This window comes from Homo sapiens, chromosome 13 (assembly GCF_000001405.40).
Source record: "Homo sapiens chromosome 13, GRCh38.p14 Primary Assembly".
Classification (NCBI taxonomy): domain Eukaryota; kingdom Metazoa; phylum Chordata; class Mammalia; order Primates; family Hominidae; genus Homo; species Homo sapiens.
In genome coordinates, this window is record NC_000013.11 from 46454159 (window position 1) to 46476942 (window position 22784).

A 22784-nucleotide genomic window follows, 5' to 3' on the forward strand; every position below is an offset into this window, starting at 1 on the left:
CTGCTAATAATAATGTCTGCCAATAACATGTCACCATTTATTCAAGCATTTTTGTATTGGCCAATATTTAGATTTTCTTCAATTTTTTAATATTATATAGAATACTGAAATAAATCTCTTTGGGCATATGTGTAATGAGAGTGTCTGTTTATGTACATATGTGCATTTCGGCTGCTCAGTATCTTAATCACCTTTATATGATTGAGAAACCTTTTATTTTGTGATTGTTGTTGCAATGCAGAGTTTGCCACCTACTATAGAAGCTGAAGATAACGGTAATCATTATCTCAGTCTCTGTTGCAGCTAGGGTATGCCCGATGACCTAAGCTCTACCAATTAGATTAACCCACTCCCCAGAATTTTAATTATGATATAATGATACATTTAAGCACTATAAAATTCTCACTGGTAGCAATAGCAGTAGTGGCAAGATCAAGTTACTGAAACAATAGTGACACCCATGTAAGTTATAGCAACTTATCTTTAATGGTGGTGAGCTTGGTTTCCTCACTGAATCAGTTCCCGGCTCCAGATTTTGGACATTATCCTTGACTGTATAGAAACTAATAGTCTTTTGATGAATTTTTGTTTGTTTGTTTACATTAGGCTTAAGCAAGGGAATTTTTTTTGCCTTGTTGTATTTTGTTTTAACTTTCATTTGCATTATGTGATTGCTCAGGTGGGTACACATTTTCCACGTGTATTAAAAAGTAATATTTCCTCTTTTATGACACTTTGGCTTCAATATTTTGCCCAATATCCCACTGGATTATTTTTTTTTCTTATTTATTTGTTGGAATTATACATGTATTCTAGATGCCAAACATTTACAAATGTTATAAACACTTATAAAATTTGACCACACCTTCTTTAAATTTGTGGTTTGTCTCTTGATACATAGTTACCATGTTCAGAAATATGGGAGAAACTCTGGAGATTTTGTATAGTGATTAAAATAACTTGGACTGTGGAGTTATTCATTCAAAAATATTTATTGAGTTTGTATCAATCTATATCCATAATGAGTAGAAACCACACAGTCGATTTAGACAGGAGAAATGTAATACAAAAGACTGGTAAACTTTGATAAAACAGTAACTCTAAAATACAAGAAAACTCTATATGGTACTCTGGAGCTGAGGGAGAGTATTCAATGAAGAAAAAATTTAGAAGGGGTATTTTCTCCACAAGACTAGAGTAGTTGAAAAAGGTGCAGTGGCAACCCACTCAACAGCACCGCGTTTCACTGCTTTGCTCAGGTCAGAGCTATTCGGCAACTGCTGGACGATAACAATGGCAGAAAGCAATTCTCCACGGCATAGGTTCCACACAGTTGAATCTCTTTCAGTGGATCTAGGTAAAAGGATATAGAAGGAGTGAGCCAATGACAAAGTCTTTTTTTTTTTTTTTTTTTTTTTGAGACGGGGTCTCACTCTGTCGCCCAAGACGGAGTGCAGTGGCGCGATCTCGGCTCACTGCAAGCTCCGCCTCCCGGATTCACGCCATTCTCCTGCCTCAGCCTCCAGAGTGGCTGGGACCACAGGCGCCCGCGACCACGCCCGGCTAAATTTTGTACTTTTAGTAGAGACGGGGTTTCACCGTGTTGGCCAGGATGGTCTCGATCTCCTGACCTCGTGATCCGCCCTCCTTGGCCTCCCAAAGTGCTGGGATTACAAGCGTGAGCCACCGCGCCTGGCTGCCAATGACAAGTTCTTTTTTTTTTTTTTTTAAATGACAAATTCTTAACTGCAAGCAGGCCACAGGCAAAAGTTAGCAAGGGCCCAGGTACACAGGTGGGCAGAGGGAATCAAAAAACCTGTGGAGGTATGAAGCCTGCAAATTGTGGTGTCCATGCTGAGAAGGCTGCAGGAAGCCAGCCCCAGCTGTAAGATTCCTGAGGGACCTCAGATTCTGAAGTATAGCACCTCTAGATGTTCTCACACTCACACCGCCCACTCACTGTAAGGAGCCAGGCACCATAGGAGAGCCCTTTCCTCTACAACATCTCTCCGGTGCCCTCTACTGAGAAGACTTGAATACTGTGCTCACTATGAGGAAGTAAATACAAGAGGAATTCCACACATTATGGCAGAGTGATTGCGGGGTAAATTTGGAGCTGAGAGTCAATACATTATTTATTGACAAATATGTGGCGTGCTGGCCAGCATAGTAGATGCTAAAATGTCACAGTAAAAATAAGAAATAAAATTATCTTCCCTATAGAAATTATACTTTTGTAGAAGATATATGATATTATCCAAAGAAATGATTAATAAAACAGTGAAGTTCTATGAAACAAAAATAGAGTGCTATAAAGTGTAATGACATTTATTGAGGTTCAAAGAAAGTCTCCTGAACGACAATCATATGTTTGGGGAATTAATACTTAAGATGTATACTGAATATGTGAATGAGGTATATTAATATTCCTATAAAGCTTGCATAGTAAACTGTGATAAATGTTTAGAGTTGGCAGTTACTGGCATGGCAGCTGATAACTGAAATTTAATAATAAATGAGATTGATGAAAGAGTAGAGAAAGATAAAAAGTCACATGAAGGCATCTTTTGATAAACACACCTGAAGAGTTTTAAACTGCTTGCAGGTCAATTAAGATGCAAATTAATATGTATTCAAAAGACAACATGTAAGTCATTCACGATCTCCATTAATATGGCTTGTGGGTGGCAGAATTCAGATTACAGTGAGTTAAACAAGTAATAATCTCATAGAACCAAAAGTAGAGATCATAACATAAATAACACATCGATTTTAATTTCCAACTCAAATTAAAAATTAGATTTCATATAAAAATTTGGATTATGGGTCCTTTTGAAAAATTGGAAACCTTATCAATCTTTCCCTAAACTGGCTTGAAAAAATATTCAACCGGGTTGCCGCCCCTCCTTGAGATTATAGGGTCCATACATTCTCTCTTTTTTTTTATTATTATACTTTAAGTTCTAGGGTATGTGCGCACAACGTGCAGGTTTGTTACATATGTATACATGTGCCATGTTGGTGTGCTGCACCCATTAACTCATCATTTACATTAGGTATATCTCCTAATGCTATCCTTCTCCCCTCCCCCCACCCCACGACAGGCCCCAATGTGTGATGTTCCCCTTCTGGTGTCCAAGGGTTCTCATTGTTCATTTCCCACCTATGAGTGAGAACATGCAGTGTTTGGTTTTTTGTCCCTGCGATAGTTTGCTGAGAATGATGATTTCCAGCTTCATCCATGTCCCTACAAAGGACATGAACTCATCCTTTTTTATGGCTGCATAGTATTCCATGGTGTATTTGTGCCACATTTTATGGACATTAGGGTCCATACATTCTGTATTTCATCACTGTCAGTATTGAACTGCATCACTTTTAATATTTCTACCTGGCCTTTCTAGCACTTGCACTCATAGACTCTGCAACATGCAGTTCTTTAAAGAAGATAATGTGGAAGAGAAAAATGTGGTGTCTGATAGTAAAAGAGGGTTATGGTTTTTGTTTTTTCTTCCCTTTTTTTTCTTCTCTTCCTTCTTTAAAGAAAGTCAATAACTGATTGCCGAAACCAAGGTGTATACTGGTTGATATAAATAAGCCCATACATAGAAAGAAATTATAGATAGAACTGAGAAAGTTGAACTCTATTTACGCCTATTTAATTACTGGAATAACACTTACCAAGCTACTTAAACTCTGGTGCTTAATGTCTTCACTTATACCGTGAGAATTAATACCCACTTCCTGAAGTTATCCTGCAGAATAAATGAAATCATGTTTCCAAAGCTTATCAATAGTTCATGACCAAGTAACTATTTAAAAGCACATAAAGGAGACACATTATTAATATAGTAATCAACATACCACAGTGGCTGAAAAAGAATTAAACTCAAAGCACTAAGTTAGTCATTACACAATCCCAGGCTGTTTCATTAGGCAGTTGATGGTAACACATGGGGAAAGCAAAGGGACATCAAGACAATAAATCAAATACATTCATGTGCTGCTAAACGACAGGGATATGTTCTGAAAATTTGAGAAATGTATCATAAGGCAATGATGTTTGCCATGCAGATTTCACAGTGTACTTACATAAACCTGTATGGTATAGCTTAGAACACACCTAGGTTATAAGGTATAGCCTATTGCTTCTAGAATACAAACCTGCACAGCATGTTACCATATTGGATAATATAGGCAATTGTAACACAATAATAAATATTTGTGTATCTCAACTTATTGGAATCTAGAAAAGATACAGTAAAAACACAGTATAAAATAATAATAATAATAATAATAATAATAAAACAGTACCTATATAGACCACTTAGCACGACTGGCACTTAAAGGGCTGAAAATTGTTCTGGGTGGATCAGTGAGTGATTAGTGAGTGAATGTGAAGGCCTGGGATATTACTGTACACTACAGTAGATGTCTTAAACATTAGGCATTAGGGTAAATGTATAAAATACATTTTATTTCTTCAATAATACATTAAACTTAGCTTACTGATAATTTTTTGCTTTATAAACTATATTTTATTTTAGCTTTTTGACTCTTTTGTACTAAACATTTTTTTTGGAATAAAGAACCATTTTTATTACAAATGATTGACTTCCCCAATTGTAGATGTTATGATCATTAACACAGTCATAACAGAGAATCAGAGATTAAGGGAGCAAAAGATAACATTTGGAAAACAGTCAGATGACACCGTGGATCCTATGGCCATGATTTCATTCAAAGAAATGTGAGGCTAGAGGTCCAAGACTCTGTCAGGCATGTAATCCTTGGATATAGAAATCTTGGAGTATGAATCCTTGAATCAGTATTATCTTTAGACGTGTCATCTTAGAAGCAAATGGTCCTCTGACAGTGATGTTTTAGCAGGAAGAATAGCATCTTCTAAAGCAAAATGGCCGGTAGCCACAGTAGCCAGAGCCAGAGCCACATCCACAGCCATAGCCAGTTCCATAACCACAGCCATACCCACAGCCGTAGCCAGTTCCATAGCCACAGCCAGAGCCAGAGCCATAGCCACAGCTGTAGCCAGTTCCATAGCCACAGCCATAGCTGGAGCCATAGCCACAGCCATAACCAGAGCCATAGCCACAGCCATAGCTGCAGCCATAGCCACAGGAGTTGCCGTAGTAGTTGCAACACAGTTGTCAAGAGGAGAGACTTGAGATGGGTTTCAAGAAGATGCTTCTGAGGTGTGGACGTCTTCTACTTCCCTGAGACCTTTATATACTGTCAGTAATTGCCAAAGCATATCATTCATTCCCTGACTTAGCCAACAAATATTTAAACAATTATTATGTGCCAGTCACTGTTGATCATCAATAATATTTTGCTTAAAATGAGCCAATTATTTTGGAGACTCTAGTTTCATTTCAGGAACATCATTTTAATCTGCTCTGCCCAAGAACCATCTCAGTGAAATCATGTGCCCAAATATAAAGCTGATACTAATTTTCAAAATGTCCTATCAGTAGATATATATCTTACATAACAAGTTTTGGGGGGATCATAACAAAATTTTATCCTTTTTCTCTCTCTCTCTTTTTTCCTAAAATATCTACCTCTACCCATAGGGAAAGAGACAACCCTATTCCCTTTCCTGAGTCATTACAACTTCTTTGCCAGACTTCTTTCTCCAACTCACTCTGCACTTCCACACCTACCCCTTGTCCAACCTCCCTCAAATCCCAAGAAACATATTCACATCTGATCATTCAAAGCCAGACTGTATGCTATCTGCAAGTGCTTCTTATATTTTCCTTCCATCCTCCAGGCAAACCAAGACCCTGGGGAGGCAGAGAAGCCCTCCTTTTGTCTCCCATTTCTTCAGCTATATAAGTAATTGTCATTGAGGAGACTTTTAAAACCAAACCAGCTTCATTTTAAATATATATATATATTTTTGTTGTTGTTGTCGTTGTTATACTTTAAGTTCTAGGGTACATGTGCACAATGTGCAAGTTTGTTGCATATGTATACATGTCCCATGTTGGTGTGCTGCACCCATTAACTCGTCATTTACATTAGGTATATATCCTAATCCTATCCCTCTCCCCTCTCCCCACCCCATAACAGGCCCCAGTATGTGATGTTCCCCTTCCTGTGTCCAAGTGTTCTCATTGTTCAATTCCCACCTATGAGGGAGAACATGAGGCATTTTCTTTTTTTGTCCCTGTGATAGCTTGCTGAGAATGATGGTTTCCAGCTTCATCCATGTCCTTACAAAGGACATGAACTCATCCTTTTTTATGGCTGCATAGTATTCCACGGTGTATATGTGCCACATTTTCTTAATCCAGTCTATCACTGAAGGACATTTGGGTTGGTTCCAAGTCTTTGCTATTGTGAATAGTGCAGGGGGGTGAGGCACCCCCTGCGATGCGGGAAGTAAGAGCCAGCCCCTCTCCCACCCCTGGCTCTTAGGAACCCCATCATGACCTCGTGTTTCTGTGGCTTTCTAGTTTTGTCTTTTTTTTTTTTTTTCTCAGTCCTTTAGACGCCCAGCTGCACAACTTGATTGCCTTACAAATGACCTGCTTCCAGGATGCGGAAATTCCTAGTTTCTTCTGTGACCCTTCTCAACTCCCCCATCTTGCATGTTGTGACACCTTCACCAATAACATAATCATGTATTTGCCTGCTGCCATATTTGGTTTTCTTCCCATCTCGGGGACCCTTTTCTCTTACTATAAAATTGTTTCCTCCATTCTGAGGGTTTCATCATCACGTGGGAAGTATAAGGCCTTCTCCACCTGTGGGTCTCACCTGTCAGTTGTTTGCTGATTTTACGGAACAGGCTTTGGAGGGTACCTCAGTTCAGATGTGTCATCTTCCCCGAGAAAGGCTGCAGTGGCCTCAGTGATGTACACGGTGATCACCTCCATGCTGAACCCCTTCATCTACAGCCTGAGAAACAGGGATATTAAAGGTGTCCTGCGGCAGCCGCACGGCAGCACCGTCCAATTTCAGTATCTTCTTATCTGTTCCATTCCTTTTGTAGTGTGGGTTAAAAAAGGCAGCAAGGTCAAATAAGAATGATATCACAGGGTGAACACACAATGTGATATTAGGAGTAATACCTCCCTAGGATATAGAATATACTGTCACAGAGTATACACAGATGGGGTACACCCACTGTGATATTAGAAGCAATATCTCCCTAAAGTATGAGGAAAAATATCACAGGGTGTGCACACTGTGTGATATGAGGAGTAATATTTACCCTGGATATTACGACTAACATCAAGGGTGTACACACACGGGGTACACACACTGATATCAGGAGTTGTATCTTCCTAGGATATTATGAATACTATCACAGGGTATATACTATGTGTGTACATCCACTGTGATATTTGAAGTAATATCTCTCTATGAGATTGCAAATAACATCAAAGCATGTACACCCCTGTGATACATTAGGAGTAACATCCTTCTAGGGTATTACAGATCACATCACAGCGTGTACACCTCTGTGACGTTTTGTACACACTTTGTGACATTAAAAGAAACATCCCCCTAGGATATTATGAATAATAACACAGGAGGGTTACACACATGGTGTACACCGCCTGTGTCATCAGGAGTAACATTCCCCTAGGATATTATGAATAATATCACAGCAGGTGTACACACATGGAGTACACCCCATGTGACATTCGGAAGAGCATGCCCCTAGGATATTAGGAATAGTATCACAGGTGTTGAATATGCATTTTTAATATGTAATGTCACCCCCGGTGACAATAAAAATAACATCCCCCTTGGATATTATGAATAATATGACAGGGAGTACACCCCGTGTGACATTAGGAATAACATCCCCCAAGGATATAACGAACAATATCAGAGGGTGTACATACATTGTGACCTTAGTAGTAACATCTCTTTAGCATATTACAAATAGTATCACAGGGTGTACAGGCATTGTGACATTAGTAGTAACATTCCGCTGGGATATGACGAGTCATATCACAGGGTGTACACCCCCGTGACAATAGTAGCAACATTCCCCTAGAATATTAGGAACCATATCACAGGAGGTACAGCCCCTGTGATTTACAAGTAACATGTCTATAGAATGTTACAACTCATATCACTGTGTGACTCTGTGTACACCCCGTGTGACTTTAGGAGTAACATCCCACAAAACTATGATGAAAAATATCACAGGGTGAACACCCCCTGTGACCTGAGGAATAACGTAGTTTTAGGATATTATGAATGATGTGACAAGGTGTACACACCCTGTGACGTTAGGAGCAATATCCGTCGGGGATGTTAGGAAGAATATCACACGGAACACACCCCCTGTGACATTGCGATATGACAAATAATATCACAAGGCGTACACACATCATGACATTAGTGCTAATATTCCTCTGGTACACTATGAATAATATCACAGGGTGTACATCCCTGTGACATTAGGAGTAACATCCCCCTAGAATAGTAAGAATAATAACAGGGGGTGTACACCCCCTGTGACATGAGGAGTATCATCTCACTAGAATATTACGAATAATGTCACAGGGTGTTATCGTCTGTGCCAATAGGAGTATAGACCCCTGGGAAATTATGAATACTATCACAGGGTGCACAGCCCTGTGACATTAGGAGTAACATCTTTCTAGAATATCACAAATAATAGCACAATGTGTACACCCCGTGTCATTAAAAGTAAAATTGCCCTAGGATATTACGAAATAGAACACAGGGAGTACACCCCGGGTGACATTAGAAGTAACATCCCCCGAGGATATAACCAGTAAGATCAGAGAATGTACCTGCATTGGGACATCAGTAGTAACATCTCTTCAGGACAATACAAATAATATCAAAGGGTGTACACACATTGTGAAATTAGTAGTGAACTCCCGCTAGGATATTAGGAATTTTATGACAGGGTCTACAGGCCCTATGACATTAGCAGTAACGTTTTCCTAGAAGATTACGAAGAATATTAAAGGGTGTACAGGACCTCTGAATTACGAGTAACATTTCCATAGCATATTGCACGTAACATCACGGTGTGTACACGCCGTGTGACATTAGGGGTAACATCCCACAAAATTATAACGAATAATTTCACAAGCTGTGCGCCCTCTGTGACATTAAAAGTAACATTTCCCTAGAATATGACGACAATACCACGGAGTGTACACCCTCTGTGATATGAGGAGTGACATCTTATGAGGATAATATGAGTAATTTCACAAGGTGTACAAACCCTGTGACATAAGGGGTGACATCCCTCTAGGACATTATGGATAATATCAAAAGGAACATACCCCGTGTCACAATAAATGCAACCTCCCCTTAGGAGAATAAGAATAACACCACAAGGTGTACACACAATGTGACATTATTATTAAGGTAAAGCTAGGATATTGGGAATAACATCACAGTGTACAGAGTCCTGTGACATCAGGTTTAACATTCCCCTACAAAATTACGAATAATATTGAAGGGTGTATACCCCCTGCGACGTTAGAAGCCGCATCTTGCTAGAATATGGAAGATAATGTTCCAGGGTGTGAACCGAGGGTGGCAGTATAGAAAGGACCCTAGGAAAAATCCGGGAGTAATATCACCACCCTATGGCCCCCTGTATATGACCATCCACATCGCAGGGGGGCAGGTGCCCCCCGCGATGCAGGGAGTAATATCACCGGCCTCTAACCCTCTGGATATTACGATCCACATCGCAGTGGGGCGGGCGACCCCCAGCCACGCGAGGAGTAATATCACCCACCTTTCACACTCTGGATAAGACGATCCACATCGCAGGGGGGCGGGCGCCACCCGCAAGGCAGGCAGTCATATCACCCCCCTCTCGCCCTGTGGATATGACGATCCCCATCGCAGGGGAGTAAGAGCCAGCCCCTCTTCCGCCCCCGGCTCTCAGGGCCCCCATCGCAGGGGGAGAGGCACCCCCCACGAGGCAGGGACTGAGAGCCAGCCCCTCATCCCCCCCGGCTCTCAGGACCCCCATCGCAGGGGAGGGAGGCACCCCCCACGAGGCAGGGACTGAGAGCCAGCCCCTCTTCCCCCCTGGCTCTCAGGGCCCCCATCGCAGGGGGGGAGGCACCCCCAACAAGGCAGGGACTGAGAGCCAGCCCCTCTTCCCCCCTGGCTCTCAAGACCCCAATCGCAGGGGGGGAGGCACCCCCAACAAGGCAGGGACCGAGAGCCAGCCCCTCTCCCCCCCTGGCTCTGAGGGCCCCCATCGCAGGAGGGGGAGGCACCCCCAACGAGGCGGGGACTCAGAGGCAGCCCCCCTTCTGCCCCCGGCTCTTAGGACCCCCATCGCAGGGGGGGAGGCACCCCCCACGAGGCGGGGACTCAGAGGCAGCCCCCCTTCTGCCCCCGGCTCTTAGGGCCCCCATCGCAGGGCGGGGGAGGCACCCCCAGCGAGGTGGGGACTGAGAGCCAGCCCCTCATACCCCCCTGGCTTAGGACCCCCATCGCGGATCCTAAGAACCTTAGGACCCACCTGGAGGACTGTGGGTATTAGGTGTCCAAGAAGAAAGCTCAAATCTGCCGAGGGCAGGTACCTTACTTGGGATTTACTGTCCGACAGGGGTCCAAACGCAGCCCGGGAACAGAAAGAAAGCAGGTCATTTGCAGTCTACCGGAGCCTAAGGGCAGAAGGCAGGTGAGGGAATTCTTAGGGGCTGTGGGGTTTTGTAGACTCTGCATCCCAAACTTTGCAGTATTAGCCAAGCCTTTGTATGAGGTCACAAAGGGGGCAGGTGAGGGAATTCTTAGGGGCTGTGCAGTTTTGTAGACTGTGCATCCCAAACTTTGCAGTAGTAGCCAAGCCTTTGTATGAGGTCACAAAGGGGGCGGGCACCGGGAACCTTTGGAATGGGGATCCCAAGAACAGCAAGTCTTTCATGACTTAAAGGAAAAACTTCTGGCAGCCCCAGCCCTGGGGCTACCCGATCTGACAAAGCCTTTGCCATTGTATGCGTTAGAGAGAGAAAAGATGGCAGCTGGACTTTTAACCCAAACTGTGGGGCCCTGGCTGAGGCCGGTGGCCTACGTCTCTGAACAACTAGACAGGGTTTCTAAAGGATGGCCTCCCTGTTTGAGGGCCTTGGCAGCAACTGCCCTGCTAGTACAAGAAGCAAATAAGCTGACTCTTGGGCAAAACCTGAACATAAAGGCCCCCCATTTTGAGGTGGCTGAGAGCCAGCCCCTTTTCCCCCCGTGGCTCTTGGGACCCCCATCGCAGGGGGGGGTGGCACCCCCTGCGAGGCGGGGACTGAAAGCCAGCCCCTCTTCCGCCACAGGCTCTTAGGAACCCCATCGCAGGGAGGGAGGCACCCCCCGTGTGGCGGGGACTGAGAGCCAGCCCCTCACCCCCACCGGCTCTCAGGACCCCCATCGCAGGGCGGGGAGGCACCCCCCACGAGGCAGGGACCGAGAGCCAGCCCCTCTTCCCCCTCTGGCTCTTAGGACCACCATCGCAGGAGGGGGAGGCACCCCCCACCCCCCACGAGGCAGGGACTGAGAGCCAGCCCCACTTCCCCCCTGGCTCTTAGGGCCCCCATCGCAGGGGGGGGAGGCACCCCCGGCGAGGCGGGGACTGAGAGCCAGCCCCTCATCCCCCCCGGCTTAGGACCCCCATCGCAGATCCTAAGAACCTTAGGACCCACCTGGGGGACTGTGGGTATTAGGTGTCCAAGAAGAAAGCTCAAATCTGCCGAGGGCAGGTACCTTACTTGGGATTTACTATCCGACAGGGGTCCAAACGCAGCCCGGGAACAGAAAGAAAGCAGGTCATTTGCAGTCTACCGGAGCCTAAGGGCAGAAGGCAGGTGAGGGAATTCTTAGGGGCTGTGGGGTTTTGTAGACTCTGCATCCCAAATTTTGCATTATTAGCCAAGCCTTTGTATGAGGTCACAAAGGGGGCAGGTGAGGGAATTCTTAGGGGCTGTGGGGTTTTGTAGACTGTGCATCCCAAACTTTGCAGTATTAGCCAAGCCTTTGTATGAGGTCACAAAGGGGGCGGGGACCGGGAACCTTTGAAATGGGGATCCCAACAACAGCAAGTCTTTCATGAGTTAAAGGAAAAACTTCTGGCAGCCCCAGCCCTGGGGCTACCCGATCTGACCAAGCCTTTTCCATTGAATGCGTCAGATAGAGAAAAGATGGCAGCTGGACTTTTAACCGAAACTCTGGGACCCTGGCTGTGGCCGGTGGCCTACGTGTCTAAACAACTAGAGAGGGTTTCTAAAGGATGGCCCCTCATGTTTGAGGGCTGTGGTATCAACTGCCCTGATAGTACGAGAAGCAAATAAGCTGACTCTTGGGCAAAACCTGAACATAAAGGCCGCCCATTTTGGGTTGGGTGACAGCCATCCCCTCTTCCCCCCCTGCCTTAGGACCCCCATCGCGGATCCTAAGATCTTTAGGACTCACCTGGAGGACTGTGGGTATTAGGTGTCCAAGAAGAAAGCTCAAATCTGCCGATGGCAGGTACCTTACTTGAGATTTACTCTCTGACAGGGGTCCGACGCCACCTGGGAACAGAAAGAAAGCAGGTTATTTGCAATCTCCCGGAGCCTAAGGGCCGAAGGCAGGCGAGAGAATTCTCAGGGGCTGTGGGGTTTTGTAGATTGTGCATCCCAAACTTTGCAGTATTAGCCAAGCCTTTGTATGAGGTCACAAAGGGGGCGGGGACCGGGAACCTTTGGAATGGGGATCCCAAGAACAGCAAGTCTTTCATGACTTAAAGGAAAAACTTCTGGCAGCCCCAGCCCTGGGGCTACCCGATCTGACAAAGCCTTTGCCATTGTATGCGTTAGAGAGAGAAAAGATGGCAGCTGGACTTTTAACCCAAACTGTGGGGCCCTGGCTGAGGCCGGTGGCCTACGTCTCTGAACAACTAGATAGGGTTTCTAAAGGATGGCCCCCCTGTTTGAGGGCCTTGGCAGCAACTGCCCTGCTAGTACAAGAAGCAAATAAGCTGACTCTTGGGCAAAACCTGAACATAAAGGCCCCCCATTTTGTGGTGGCTGAGAGCCAGCCCCTTTTCCCCCCGTGGCTCTTGGGACCCCCATCGCAGGGGGGGTGGCACCCCCTGCGAGGCGGGGACTGAGAGCCAGCCCCTCATCCGCCACAGGCTCTTAGGAACCCCATCGCAGGGGGGGAGGCAACCCCCCACGAGGCAGGGACTGAGAGCCAGCCCCTCTTCCCCCTCTGGCTCTTAGGGCCCCCATCCCAGGAGGGGGAGGCACCCCCCACGAGGCAGGGACGCAGAGGCAGCCCCTATTCTGCCCCCGGCTCTTAGGACCCCCATCGCAGGGGGGGAGACACCCCCCACGAGGCGGGGACTGAGAGCCAGCCCCTCTTCTCCCCCTGGCTCTTAGGACACCAATCGCAGGGGTGGGAGGCACCCCCAACGAGGCAGGGACTGAGAGCCAGCCCCTCGTCCCCCCCGGCATAGGACCCCCATCGCGGATCCTAAGAACCTTAGGACCCACTTGGAGGACTGTGGGTATTAGGTGTCCAAGAAGAAAGCTCAAATCTGCCGATGGCAGGTACCTTACTTAGGATTTACTATCTGACAGGAGTCCGAACGCAGCCCGGGAACAGAAAGAAAGCAGGTTATTTGCAATCTCCCGGAGCCTAAGTGCCTAAGGCAGGCGAGAGAATTCTCAGGGGATGTGGGGTTTTGTAGACTGTGGATCCCAAACTTTGCAGTATTAGCCAAGCCTTTGTATGAGGTCACAAAGGGGGCGGGGACCGGAACCTTTGGAATGGGGATCCAAGAACAGCAAGTCTTTCATGACTTAAAGGAAAAACTTCTGGCAGCCCCAGCCCTGGGGCTACCCGATCTGACAAAGCCTTTTCCATTGTATGCGTTAGAGAGAGAAAAGATGGCAGCTGGACTTTTAACCCAAACTGTGGGGCCCTGGCTGAGGCCGGTGGCCTACGTCTCTGAACAACTAGACAGGGTTTCTGAAGGATGGCTCCCCTGTTTGAGGCCTTGGCAGCAACTGCCCTGCTAGTACAAGAAGCAAATAAGCTGACTCTTGGGCAAAACCTGAACATAAAGGCCCCCCATTTTGTGGTGGCTGAGAGCCATCCCCTTTTCCCCCCCTGGATCTTGGGACCCCCATTGCCGGGGAGGCACCACCCGTGAGAGTGCTGGGATTACAGACGTAAGCCACCGCGCCTGGCCAATAAATGTTAGCTTTTTAATAATGTATCTCTGGTAGTTGCCTGCTTCACTAGCCCTACACACACACACACACACGTGCACCTGTGCAATTTTCCCTGGTCAGCATTGATGACAGTGAATAAGAAGAATAGATATACATTGTTTCATGAACCTTTGCAGTGTTTGAGGTTTTATAAAGGCACAGGTCCAGTTATACAGACTTGTGCCATCAAACTTGTGCAGCTTTAAATGAGTATTTTTTTTTTTGGCTGGGAGTGGTGGCTCATGCCTGTAATCCCAGAACTTTGGGAAGCTAAGGCAGGAAGATTGCTTGAGCCCAGGAGTTTGAGACCAGCCTGAGCAATGCAGTGAGATCCCATCCCTAAAAAATAATAATTTTTAAAATAAGAACAATTAATTTAAAAAAATAAAATGAGTGTTTTTAAAATTGTATTTTTAAATTGACAATAATTGTACACATTCATGGGGTACATAGTGGTGTTTCCATATACATAATGTATAGGGATTAGATCACATTAATTAGCATATTTATCATCTCAAGAGTATTCTTTTTAATGTGTCCTTTCCTCAAAGAGGAAATCAATATTCTGCTTGCTGGGGAGGGGGAAAGAGGCAGTTGCTATTTATTCTGTGCCCACTGATTTTTTCCCTAATCTAAATGAAAATAATAAACCACATAATCTGTTTGAACCACAAAGATTCTTCCTTATAATATTGTTCCCTTCTCCCTCTGTCATTGCCATAAAAAGCTTGTTCCTTGCCATCTGAATTCTCATAAAGCCCAGCTGGCCTTTGTCCTAACGCAGCAGATCTCAGCTTATTTCCCTTTCAGTGAATCAGATAACATCATCCTTTTTTACTGACTTTCGTACTTAGATTTATGAGTGACTTGGCAATGTGGTAATGTCTACCAATGAATGTCTTTTTTTTTTTTTTTTTAACCAAGAGGCATTTGTAAAAGCAGCTAAATATAGTAATTGCTGGATTCATTTTTCCCTGCTTCCACATACTTTTAGCCAAGGAACTGTGCACTGTCAAGGGCATTGAGCAATAGACAGTATAATGATATGCCTATATGACCTATTTATTTAGAATATTTAGAATCTCTAAACTTCAGTTTGTTCATTTGTAAAGTCTGCATAAGAGTATCCACTTCAATAGTATAATTATAAAAATTAAAATAGCTAGTATGAATATTTAGTATGGAGCTAATTTTGCTTTAAACTACTGATTATCTTTCAAAGATATCTAAATAATAAGAAAGAAAGTCTTCCTATTCACCTATATGGAACCATGGATTGCTGGACCGGCATGGTGGCTCACACCAGTAATCTTAGCACTTTGGGAGGCTGAGGCAGGAGGATCACTTGAGCCCAGGAGTTCGAGACCAGGCTAGGCAACATAGAGAGACACCATCTCAAAAAAAAGAAAAGAAAAGGAAAAATAAAACCATGTATTTACCCATGGAGTCACCATTTCCAGTGCTGTCATTCATAGGTGAGGATGATGCAATTGACCCATTAAAAGACAAGGGCTTGGGGCCGGGCGCGGTGGGTGACTCACGCTTGTAATCCCAGCATTCTGGGAGGCCGAGGCAGCCGGATCACGAGGTCAGGAGATCGAGACCATCCTGACTAACACAGTGAAACCCCATCTCTACTAAAACAATATAAAAAATTAGCTGGGCGTAGTGGCGGGCACCTGTAGTCCCAGCTACTCGGGAGGCTAAGGCAGGAGAATGGCGTGAACCTGGGAGGCAGAGCTTGCAGTAAGCCGAGATCGCGCCACTGCCCTCCAGGCTAAAAACAAAACAAAAAAAAGACAAGGGCTTGGGCCGGGCCTGTAATCCCAGCACTTTGGGAGGCCGAGGCAGGCAGATCACAAGGTCAGGAGATCGAGACCATCCTGCTTAACGTGGTGAAACCCCGTCTCTACTAAAATTACAAAAAATTAGCTGGGCGTGGTGGCGGGTGCCTGTAATCCCAGCTACTCATGAGGCTGAGGCAGGAGAATCACTTGAACCCGGGAAGCAGAGGTTGCAGTGAGCAGAGATCGTGCCACTGCACTCCAGCCTGGGTGACAGAGTGAGACTCCGTTTCAAAAAAAAAAAAAAAGAAAAGAAAAGACAAGGTCTTCAGGCCGGGTGTGGTGGCTCATGCCTGTAATCTCAGCACTTTGGGAAGCTGAGGTGGGTAGATCACCTGAGGCCCAGAGTTCGAGACCAGGCTGGCCAACATGGTGAAACCCTGTCTCTACTAAAAATACAAAAATTAGCCAGGTGTGGTGGCGGCACCTGTGATCCCAACTACTTGGGAAGCTGAGGCAGGAGAATTGCTTGAACCTTGGAGTTGGAGACTGCAGTGAGCCGAGATCACACCACTGCACTCCATCCAGCCTGGGCAACAAAGTGAGACTCTGTCTCAAAAAAAAAAAAAAAAAAAAAAGACAACGACTTCAAGCTGCTTCACCAGCAGTTATCTGTGTCTTTTGTTTTAGGGACAGCTCTGCAGATTTGGGGTAGCATGTGGCCAGGGAACCAAAGTAAATAGTTTGCAAAATGATCAAATTTGTCTTCCTGACATTATCAACGTCTAATTTAATGTTCATCTTTTGGTAATGTTCCAGAAAATAGATTAGACACTTTGGGAGTGATAGCAATTCTTAAACAACATTTTTTTTTCTATACTAAATATAATATGTGCATTGTACAATAGTTGGGATGGAAAAATATTCTAAATGTCTAAATCATATATAATCCTAAAACTTATAACCATTATTAATATTTTGGTATATTTTCTTTTAGTCTTTTTTGCATATATGGATGCACAGTATATATGTTACACATACGCATATTAAAAAAATCATCTTATCAAATATCTAGCTTTTAGAAACAACATTATAGCATCAGCAGCTTTATAATCACTAAATGTCTTTCAAAAAACCTGATTTTGAATGACTGTGTAATAGTCCATAATATGGCTGATCCACAATTTATTTAACCAACACTCACTGCTTAATAAAATTACCATTCCACCACATATGCCAGGGGTACGATTCACTTTTTATACAAAAGAGTGGGCCAAGTTCTATTTATATAGTTGGAAACCAAGGGATACATTAATGGTTTAGATACTAGAAGTGTCAGATGTATAAAGAATGACAGCAAATAACTTTAGTCTCCATTTCTATCGTGACCTTTAAAATTTGGCTTTGTGAAAGGAAAATAAATCTTGGAACCCCAACATCACTAAGCCAAAGGAAAAAGCCAAGCTGGGAACTGTGTCATGCAAACCTGCCTCCCATTTTATTCCTAAATAAGACAGCTACAAAGATTTATTTATTTATTTATTTATTTATTTATTTATTTATTTATTTTAAGATGGAGTCTCGTTCTGTCACCCAGGCTGGAGTGCAGTGGCATAATCTCAGCTCACTGCAACCTCTGCATCCCAGGTTCAAGCGATTCTCCTGCCTCAGCCTCCCGAGTAGCTGGGACTACAGGCGCCTGCCACCATGTCTGGCTAATTTTTTGTATTTTTAGTAGAGACAGGGTTTCACCTTGTTGGCCAGGCTGGTCTTGAACTCCTGATCTCAAGTGATCTGCTCACCTTGGCCTCCCAGTGTGCTAGGATTACAGATGTGAGCCATCCCACCCGGCCCAAAGATTTTTTTTTTGTTTTTTTTTGAGATGGAGTTTCACTCTTGTTGCCCACGCTGGAGTCCAATGGCACAATATCCACTCACGGCAACCTACGCCTCCTGGGTTCAAGCAATTCTCCTGCCTCAGCCTCCTGAGTAGCTGGGATGACAGGCACGCACCACCACGCCTGGCTAATTTTTGGGTTTTTAGTAGAGACAGGGCTTTGCCATGTTGGCCAGGCTGGTCTCGAACTCCTGGCCTCATGTGATCCACCCACCTCAGCCTCCCAAAGTGCTGGGATTATAGGCATGAGCCACCACACCAGGCCAAGATTTTTTAAAAGGCTACATACCTCCCTCACAATTTGTTCATCAGGAAATTCCTTGTGGGCCCCAAGATCTTTACCCTAAAACAGTTCTGTTGAATTTTACCCTGACAATGTAAACTGATAGCTTATCTTCACAGGTACAGGACAAAGGACAGAGCTCTAAGTCATCCCTCTGTACTCACCTAAGACAAATGCATATCTGATTGCTTCCTCTGTAAAAATGCACATTCACTGAGCTAGACTAAGGCGTAAGTGACTACTCCTTTACCCTCCTCTCACGTGTAAATTGCGTATTTGGTGAAAGGCTGATCAAAGACTCAAAAGAATGCAACCATTTGTCTCGTATCTTTCCACACCTTGTAAACATTTCTTCCTCTTTCCCCAGTATCCGCTCTTTCCCCTTTAAATATTAAAGCCCTCAAAATCATCTCTGGAGAAAGGCACAGACCTGCCTCTCAGCTGCATATACTTAACCTTGGGCAATTTATCTCTAAATGGATTGAGACCTGTATCAGATATGTTTTGGTTCACAACTTGAAGGAGATAGATGATGCAGTGACTGATGTGTTTGCCTATGGTGATAAACAGTAAGTTTTACCTTGATTCCTACATTTAGTTTTTCACTCACATGTTCCCAGCAGATCCTAAGAGGTAGCAGCCTTGTTGGTGAATGAGTTATTTGTTCATTCAATAGACTAAGTTCTCTGTGTTGCTATTTCCTTTGGCCACTCTGAGTTGTAGACAAATGAATTCTTATTAGAGATGAAATCTGTATTTAATTGTTGAATGAAAGGAATTTTCAAATCAATTTAAATGTAAACTCTTCATATAAATCCAAACATACCTGGCTCTTCCTTTTATCTTCAAAAGTCAGTTGAGTTTTTTTTCATCAAAAATGTTGCATAGGGGCCAGGCACGGTGGCTCACGCCTGTAATCCCAACACTTTGGGAGGTCGAGGCAGGCAGATCACGAGGTCAGGAGTGCGAGATCAGCCTGGCCAATATGGTGAAACCCTGTCTCTACTGAAAATACAAAAACTAGCTGGGCCTGGTGGCACGCACCTGTAGTCCCACCTATTTGGGAGGCTGAGGCTGGAGAATCGCTTGTACCCAGGAGGCAGAGGTTGCAGTGAGCCGAGATCACACCACTGCACTCCAGCCTGGCAACAGAGTGAGACGCTGTATCAAAAAAAAAAAAAAAGAAAAAAAAAGTTGCATAGGGCTGGGCTGCATGTGGTGGCTCACACCTGTCATCTCAGCACTTTGGGAGGCCAGGGTGGGCAGATCACTTGAGGTCAGGAGTTTGAGACCAGCCTGGCCAACACGGTGAAACCTGGTCTCTACCAAAAAATACAAAACTTAGTTGGGCGTGATGGTGTGTGCCTGTAGTCTCAGCTACTTGGGAGGCTGAGGTGGGAGAATCACCTAAACTCAGGAGGGGGAGGCTGCAGTGAGCTGAGATCATGGCACCGTACTCCAGCCTGGGTGACAGAGTGAGACCGTGTCTTACGAAAAAAAATATTGTTGCATAGTTTTGCCCTAAGCCAGCCACACTCACTAGCCTATTTCCTACTGACACTCACCCCTACAGACCCTTAACCCCACCCACAGCTGTCAGCTCTGCCTGGCCCTTGAGGGGTGGGTTTATGAGAGACCTTCTGCTTACTGCTAGTCTCAGAATCTATGGTATTCATGGAATGCTGATGCTATGGTTTGAATGTATGTATTTCTCCAAACTTCATGTTGAAACTTAATCCTGATGTGACAGTTAAGAGGTGGGGCCTTTAGAAGGCAATTAGGTCATGAGGGCTCTGCTCTCACAGATGGAATTAGTGCCTTATAAAAAGGCTTGAGGGAGCCTGCATGGTCCTTCCTCCCCTTCCACCATGTGAGGAGGCAGCAACAAGGCACCATCTTTGAAGCAGAAAGTGAGCCTTCGCCAGACAGCAAATCTGCCGGCACCTTGATCTCGGACTTCCCAGCCTCCAGAATTGTGAGCAATAAATTTCTATTGTTTATACATCACCCAGTCTAAGGTATTTTTGTTATAGCAGCAGAAACAGATTAAGGCAGATTGAGGATAAAAATAATTGACTGTATGCCAGGCGCAGTGGCTCACTCCTGTAATCCCAGCACTTTGGGAGGCCGAGGCAGGTGGATCATGAGGTCAGGCGTTCAAGACCAGCCTGACCAACATGGTGAAACCCTGTCTCTACTAAAGATACAAAAAATTAGCCAGGCATGGTGGCGGGTGCCGGTAATCCCAGCTGCTCAGGAGTCTGAGGCAGAAGAATCGCTTGAACCTGGGAGGCAGAGGTTGCAGTGAGCTGAGATCACACCACTGCACTTCAGCCTGGGTGACAGAGTGAGACTCTGTCTCAAAATAAATAAATAAATTAATTAAATAAAATAAAATAATTGACTGTAAAACACTAGTAACTGTAAACATTGCAGCATCCTTCTACAAAACATCTAGCCCCACTACATTGTGATGGGGTAGGATGTATATGGACTAGATTTCAATGAGAGTTAATAGAAATGAAGTGGAACTATTTGGGAGGAGGTTAAGGAGGGGGCAGGAGGGGACAAGGAAGAACATCTAAATTACCTAGCCTCCTGCTAGCATTTTTAGTTTTTAATATGATGACAGTCAAGGAGAGGACAGAAGAGAACTCACTTCACAGTCCCACTTGGGGTGTGTTCCCGAGTTACACCGATAAAATTAGCTGAAAAATGAACTCCTCTGCACTGATTCTTTAAAGAGTATTTTTACAATAAATTATATTGTGTATGGCTTTCCAAACTCTGTGGGACTTTGTCTCTGGGTGGATTCCCCAAACAACTTTCAGCTGCTTTTTGTAGCCACCTAACTCCCTAAGCAAAGAGCCACTCCAAGGGCCCCCTCTCCAGGAAGGAAAGGTCCTGACACAAAGTTGGCCTGGGCCCCACAATGTCATAAGCTGCATGCTTTGTTTCCTCTTGTTTCATACAGTTGACATCTTTCAGATGGTTGTGTGAAGGTTATTCTTGTATTTTCCTTCTCCCTCTTACTGGCAAGAAAACATTTGGCTGTGCAAAAGGTAGAAACAGAGGCAACTGAGATGTGCATATGAGCCGGAAAGTCCTGGGCTTCAGGTATTTATTCTTGAAAGTAATAGTGAGTATTTAGAGACGATCCCCCTATCCAAAGGTACCAGTGAGATTAGATTTGTTAAAGACATTACTCACAGGTGCAAGAGTACACACCCACACCTGTTCAGACACCAGCAACCGGGAGCATGGATAAGAACTAGAACCTGCTGATACAGCCCTTTGCAATGACTACACCGCATGCCAAATGGCTCTAGTGCAGAGTATGAATGAGCTCAGAACAGTGGGTGGATTTATGCAATTTCTGAGAACCACATGGAAGCTTCTGACTTGATTGCCAAAAAGAGAAGACTTTTTTGTTGTTGTTTTTGTTTGGCTTTGTTTTTTATTCTTTGCCTCAGAATGATCATCCTCCCGCATATAAATTAGTGATGACACCCGTGACTCGGAAAGCCAACATTGGAACAGCAGCAACATGAAGCACCGCTTTCATGACTCATTTCACCCAGAGAATGCACTCAGGCCCTATTTACAAAACTGTGCAACATAAATAGAACTGCACAGATACACTTACTGAAAGATTCAGCTTGAATCAAAAGACATATTCAGATCACTATTTTTCTTGAATACTAGAATTAGACTATCTCAATATTTTTAAGTGATATGAATGCACTCTAGAATTGAAGTACTTTAAAATGTACTAGTTTATTCCTGTTCGAAAACTCTAAAAGCTTCTCTTTACAACAAATTAGTGGTTAGCTACTCCACATCAATCTTTTTTTGTTTGTTTGTTTTTGTTTTTGTTTTTTTGAGATAAGGTCTCGCTATGTTGCCTGGGCTGGACTCAAACTCCTGGGCTCAAGCAATCCTCCCACTTCAGCCTCCTGAGTAGGTGGGACTACAGACACGTGCCCTGCCTGGACACATGAATCATTTTTATCCAAGACTGGCAACTCTTCAACATTCTTTTTCCTGTGTCAGGGCAAAAGCCTCAGCAATTCTTCTATTTTTCTACAGAACAAGAACTTGCATCTTCACATATTAGGTTTCAATGCAAGTCACTGAGCATTTTGATCTCTATTATAATGATTTTTGACATACAGTTTCACTCTTGTTGCCCAGGCTGGAGTGCAATGGCATAATCTCGGCTCATTGCAACCTCTGCCTCCCAGGTTCAAGCGATTCTCCTGCCTCAGCCTCCCGGGTGCCTGGGATTACAGGCATGCACCACCACATCCGGCTAATTTTGTATTTTTGGTAGAGATGGGGTTTCTCCATGTTGGTCAGGCTGGTCTTGAACTCCTGACCTCAGGTGATCTGCCTGCCTCAGCCTCCTAAAGTGCTGGGATTACAGGCGTGAGCCACCGTGCCTGGCCTGGATCTCTATTATTAACGTGCAAAAGAGGAGATAAGGAAGCATCTTGTGCGCCTTCTTTGGTGGAGGGGATGGGTGGTAGGCAGCTAGGAGGGGGTGAGGGCCTGCACACTGAAACTGGATTTAGTATAAAGCA

General features: G+C 44.6%; 1 long non-coding RNA gene and 2 pseudogenes across 2 annotated transcripts, besides 3 other annotated features; 1 reads left to right on the forward strand and 2 right to left on the reverse strand.

The window, feature by feature from the left end:
• Positions 1-1044: 1044 nt before the first annotated feature.
• On the reverse strand, positions 1045-12618 carry LINC01198 (long intergenic non-protein coding RNA 1198). The gene is made up of 6 exons (NR_120426.1): positions 12451-12618; positions 11751-11829; positions 10583-10661; positions 6787-7012; positions 3682-3755; positions 1045-1353 (listed from the first exon to the last, which is right to left on the reverse strand). It is a non-coding gene; the product is annotated as a long intergenic non-protein coding RNA 1198 (long non-coding RNA).
• LOC112268117 (keratin associated protein 21-1 pseudogene) lies at positions 3906-5027 on the reverse strand (annotated as a pseudogene). Its single transcript, NR_158370.1, has one exon. The product of NR_158370.1 is annotated as a keratin associated protein 21-1 pseudogene (transcript).
• On the forward strand, positions 6421-7030 carry OR7E101P (olfactory receptor family 7 subfamily E member 101 pseudogene; annotated as a pseudogene).
• Positions 10546-11201: an enhancer, noted in NCBI's record as "H3K27ac-H3K4me1 hESC enhancer chr13:47038839-47039494 (GRCh37/hg19 assembly coordinates)". NCBI's record gives its function as "activates a minimal SCP1, AML or CMV promoter by ChIP-STARR-seq in primed H9 embryonic stem cells {active_cell/tissue: H9 hESC(primed)}" and the evidence as "EXISTENCE:reporter gene assay evidence [ECO:0000049][PMID:30033119]".
• Positions 11202-11856: an enhancer, noted in NCBI's record as "H3K4me1 hESC enhancer chr13:47039495-47040149 (GRCh37/hg19 assembly coordinates)". NCBI's record gives its function as "activates a minimal SCP1, AML or CMV promoter by ChIP-STARR-seq in primed H9 embryonic stem cells {active_cell/tissue: H9 hESC(primed)}" and the evidence as "EXISTENCE:reporter gene assay evidence [ECO:0000049][PMID:30033119]".
• Positions 12573-12747: a silencer, noted in NCBI's record as "fragment chr13:47040866-47041040 (GRCh37/hg19 assembly coordinates)". NCBI's record gives its function as "represses an EF-1alpha promoter that drives an FKBP-Casp9 reporter gene in an ReSE screen in K562 erythroleukemia cells {active_cell/tissue: K562}" and the evidence as "EXISTENCE:reporter gene assay evidence [ECO:0000049][PMID:32094911]".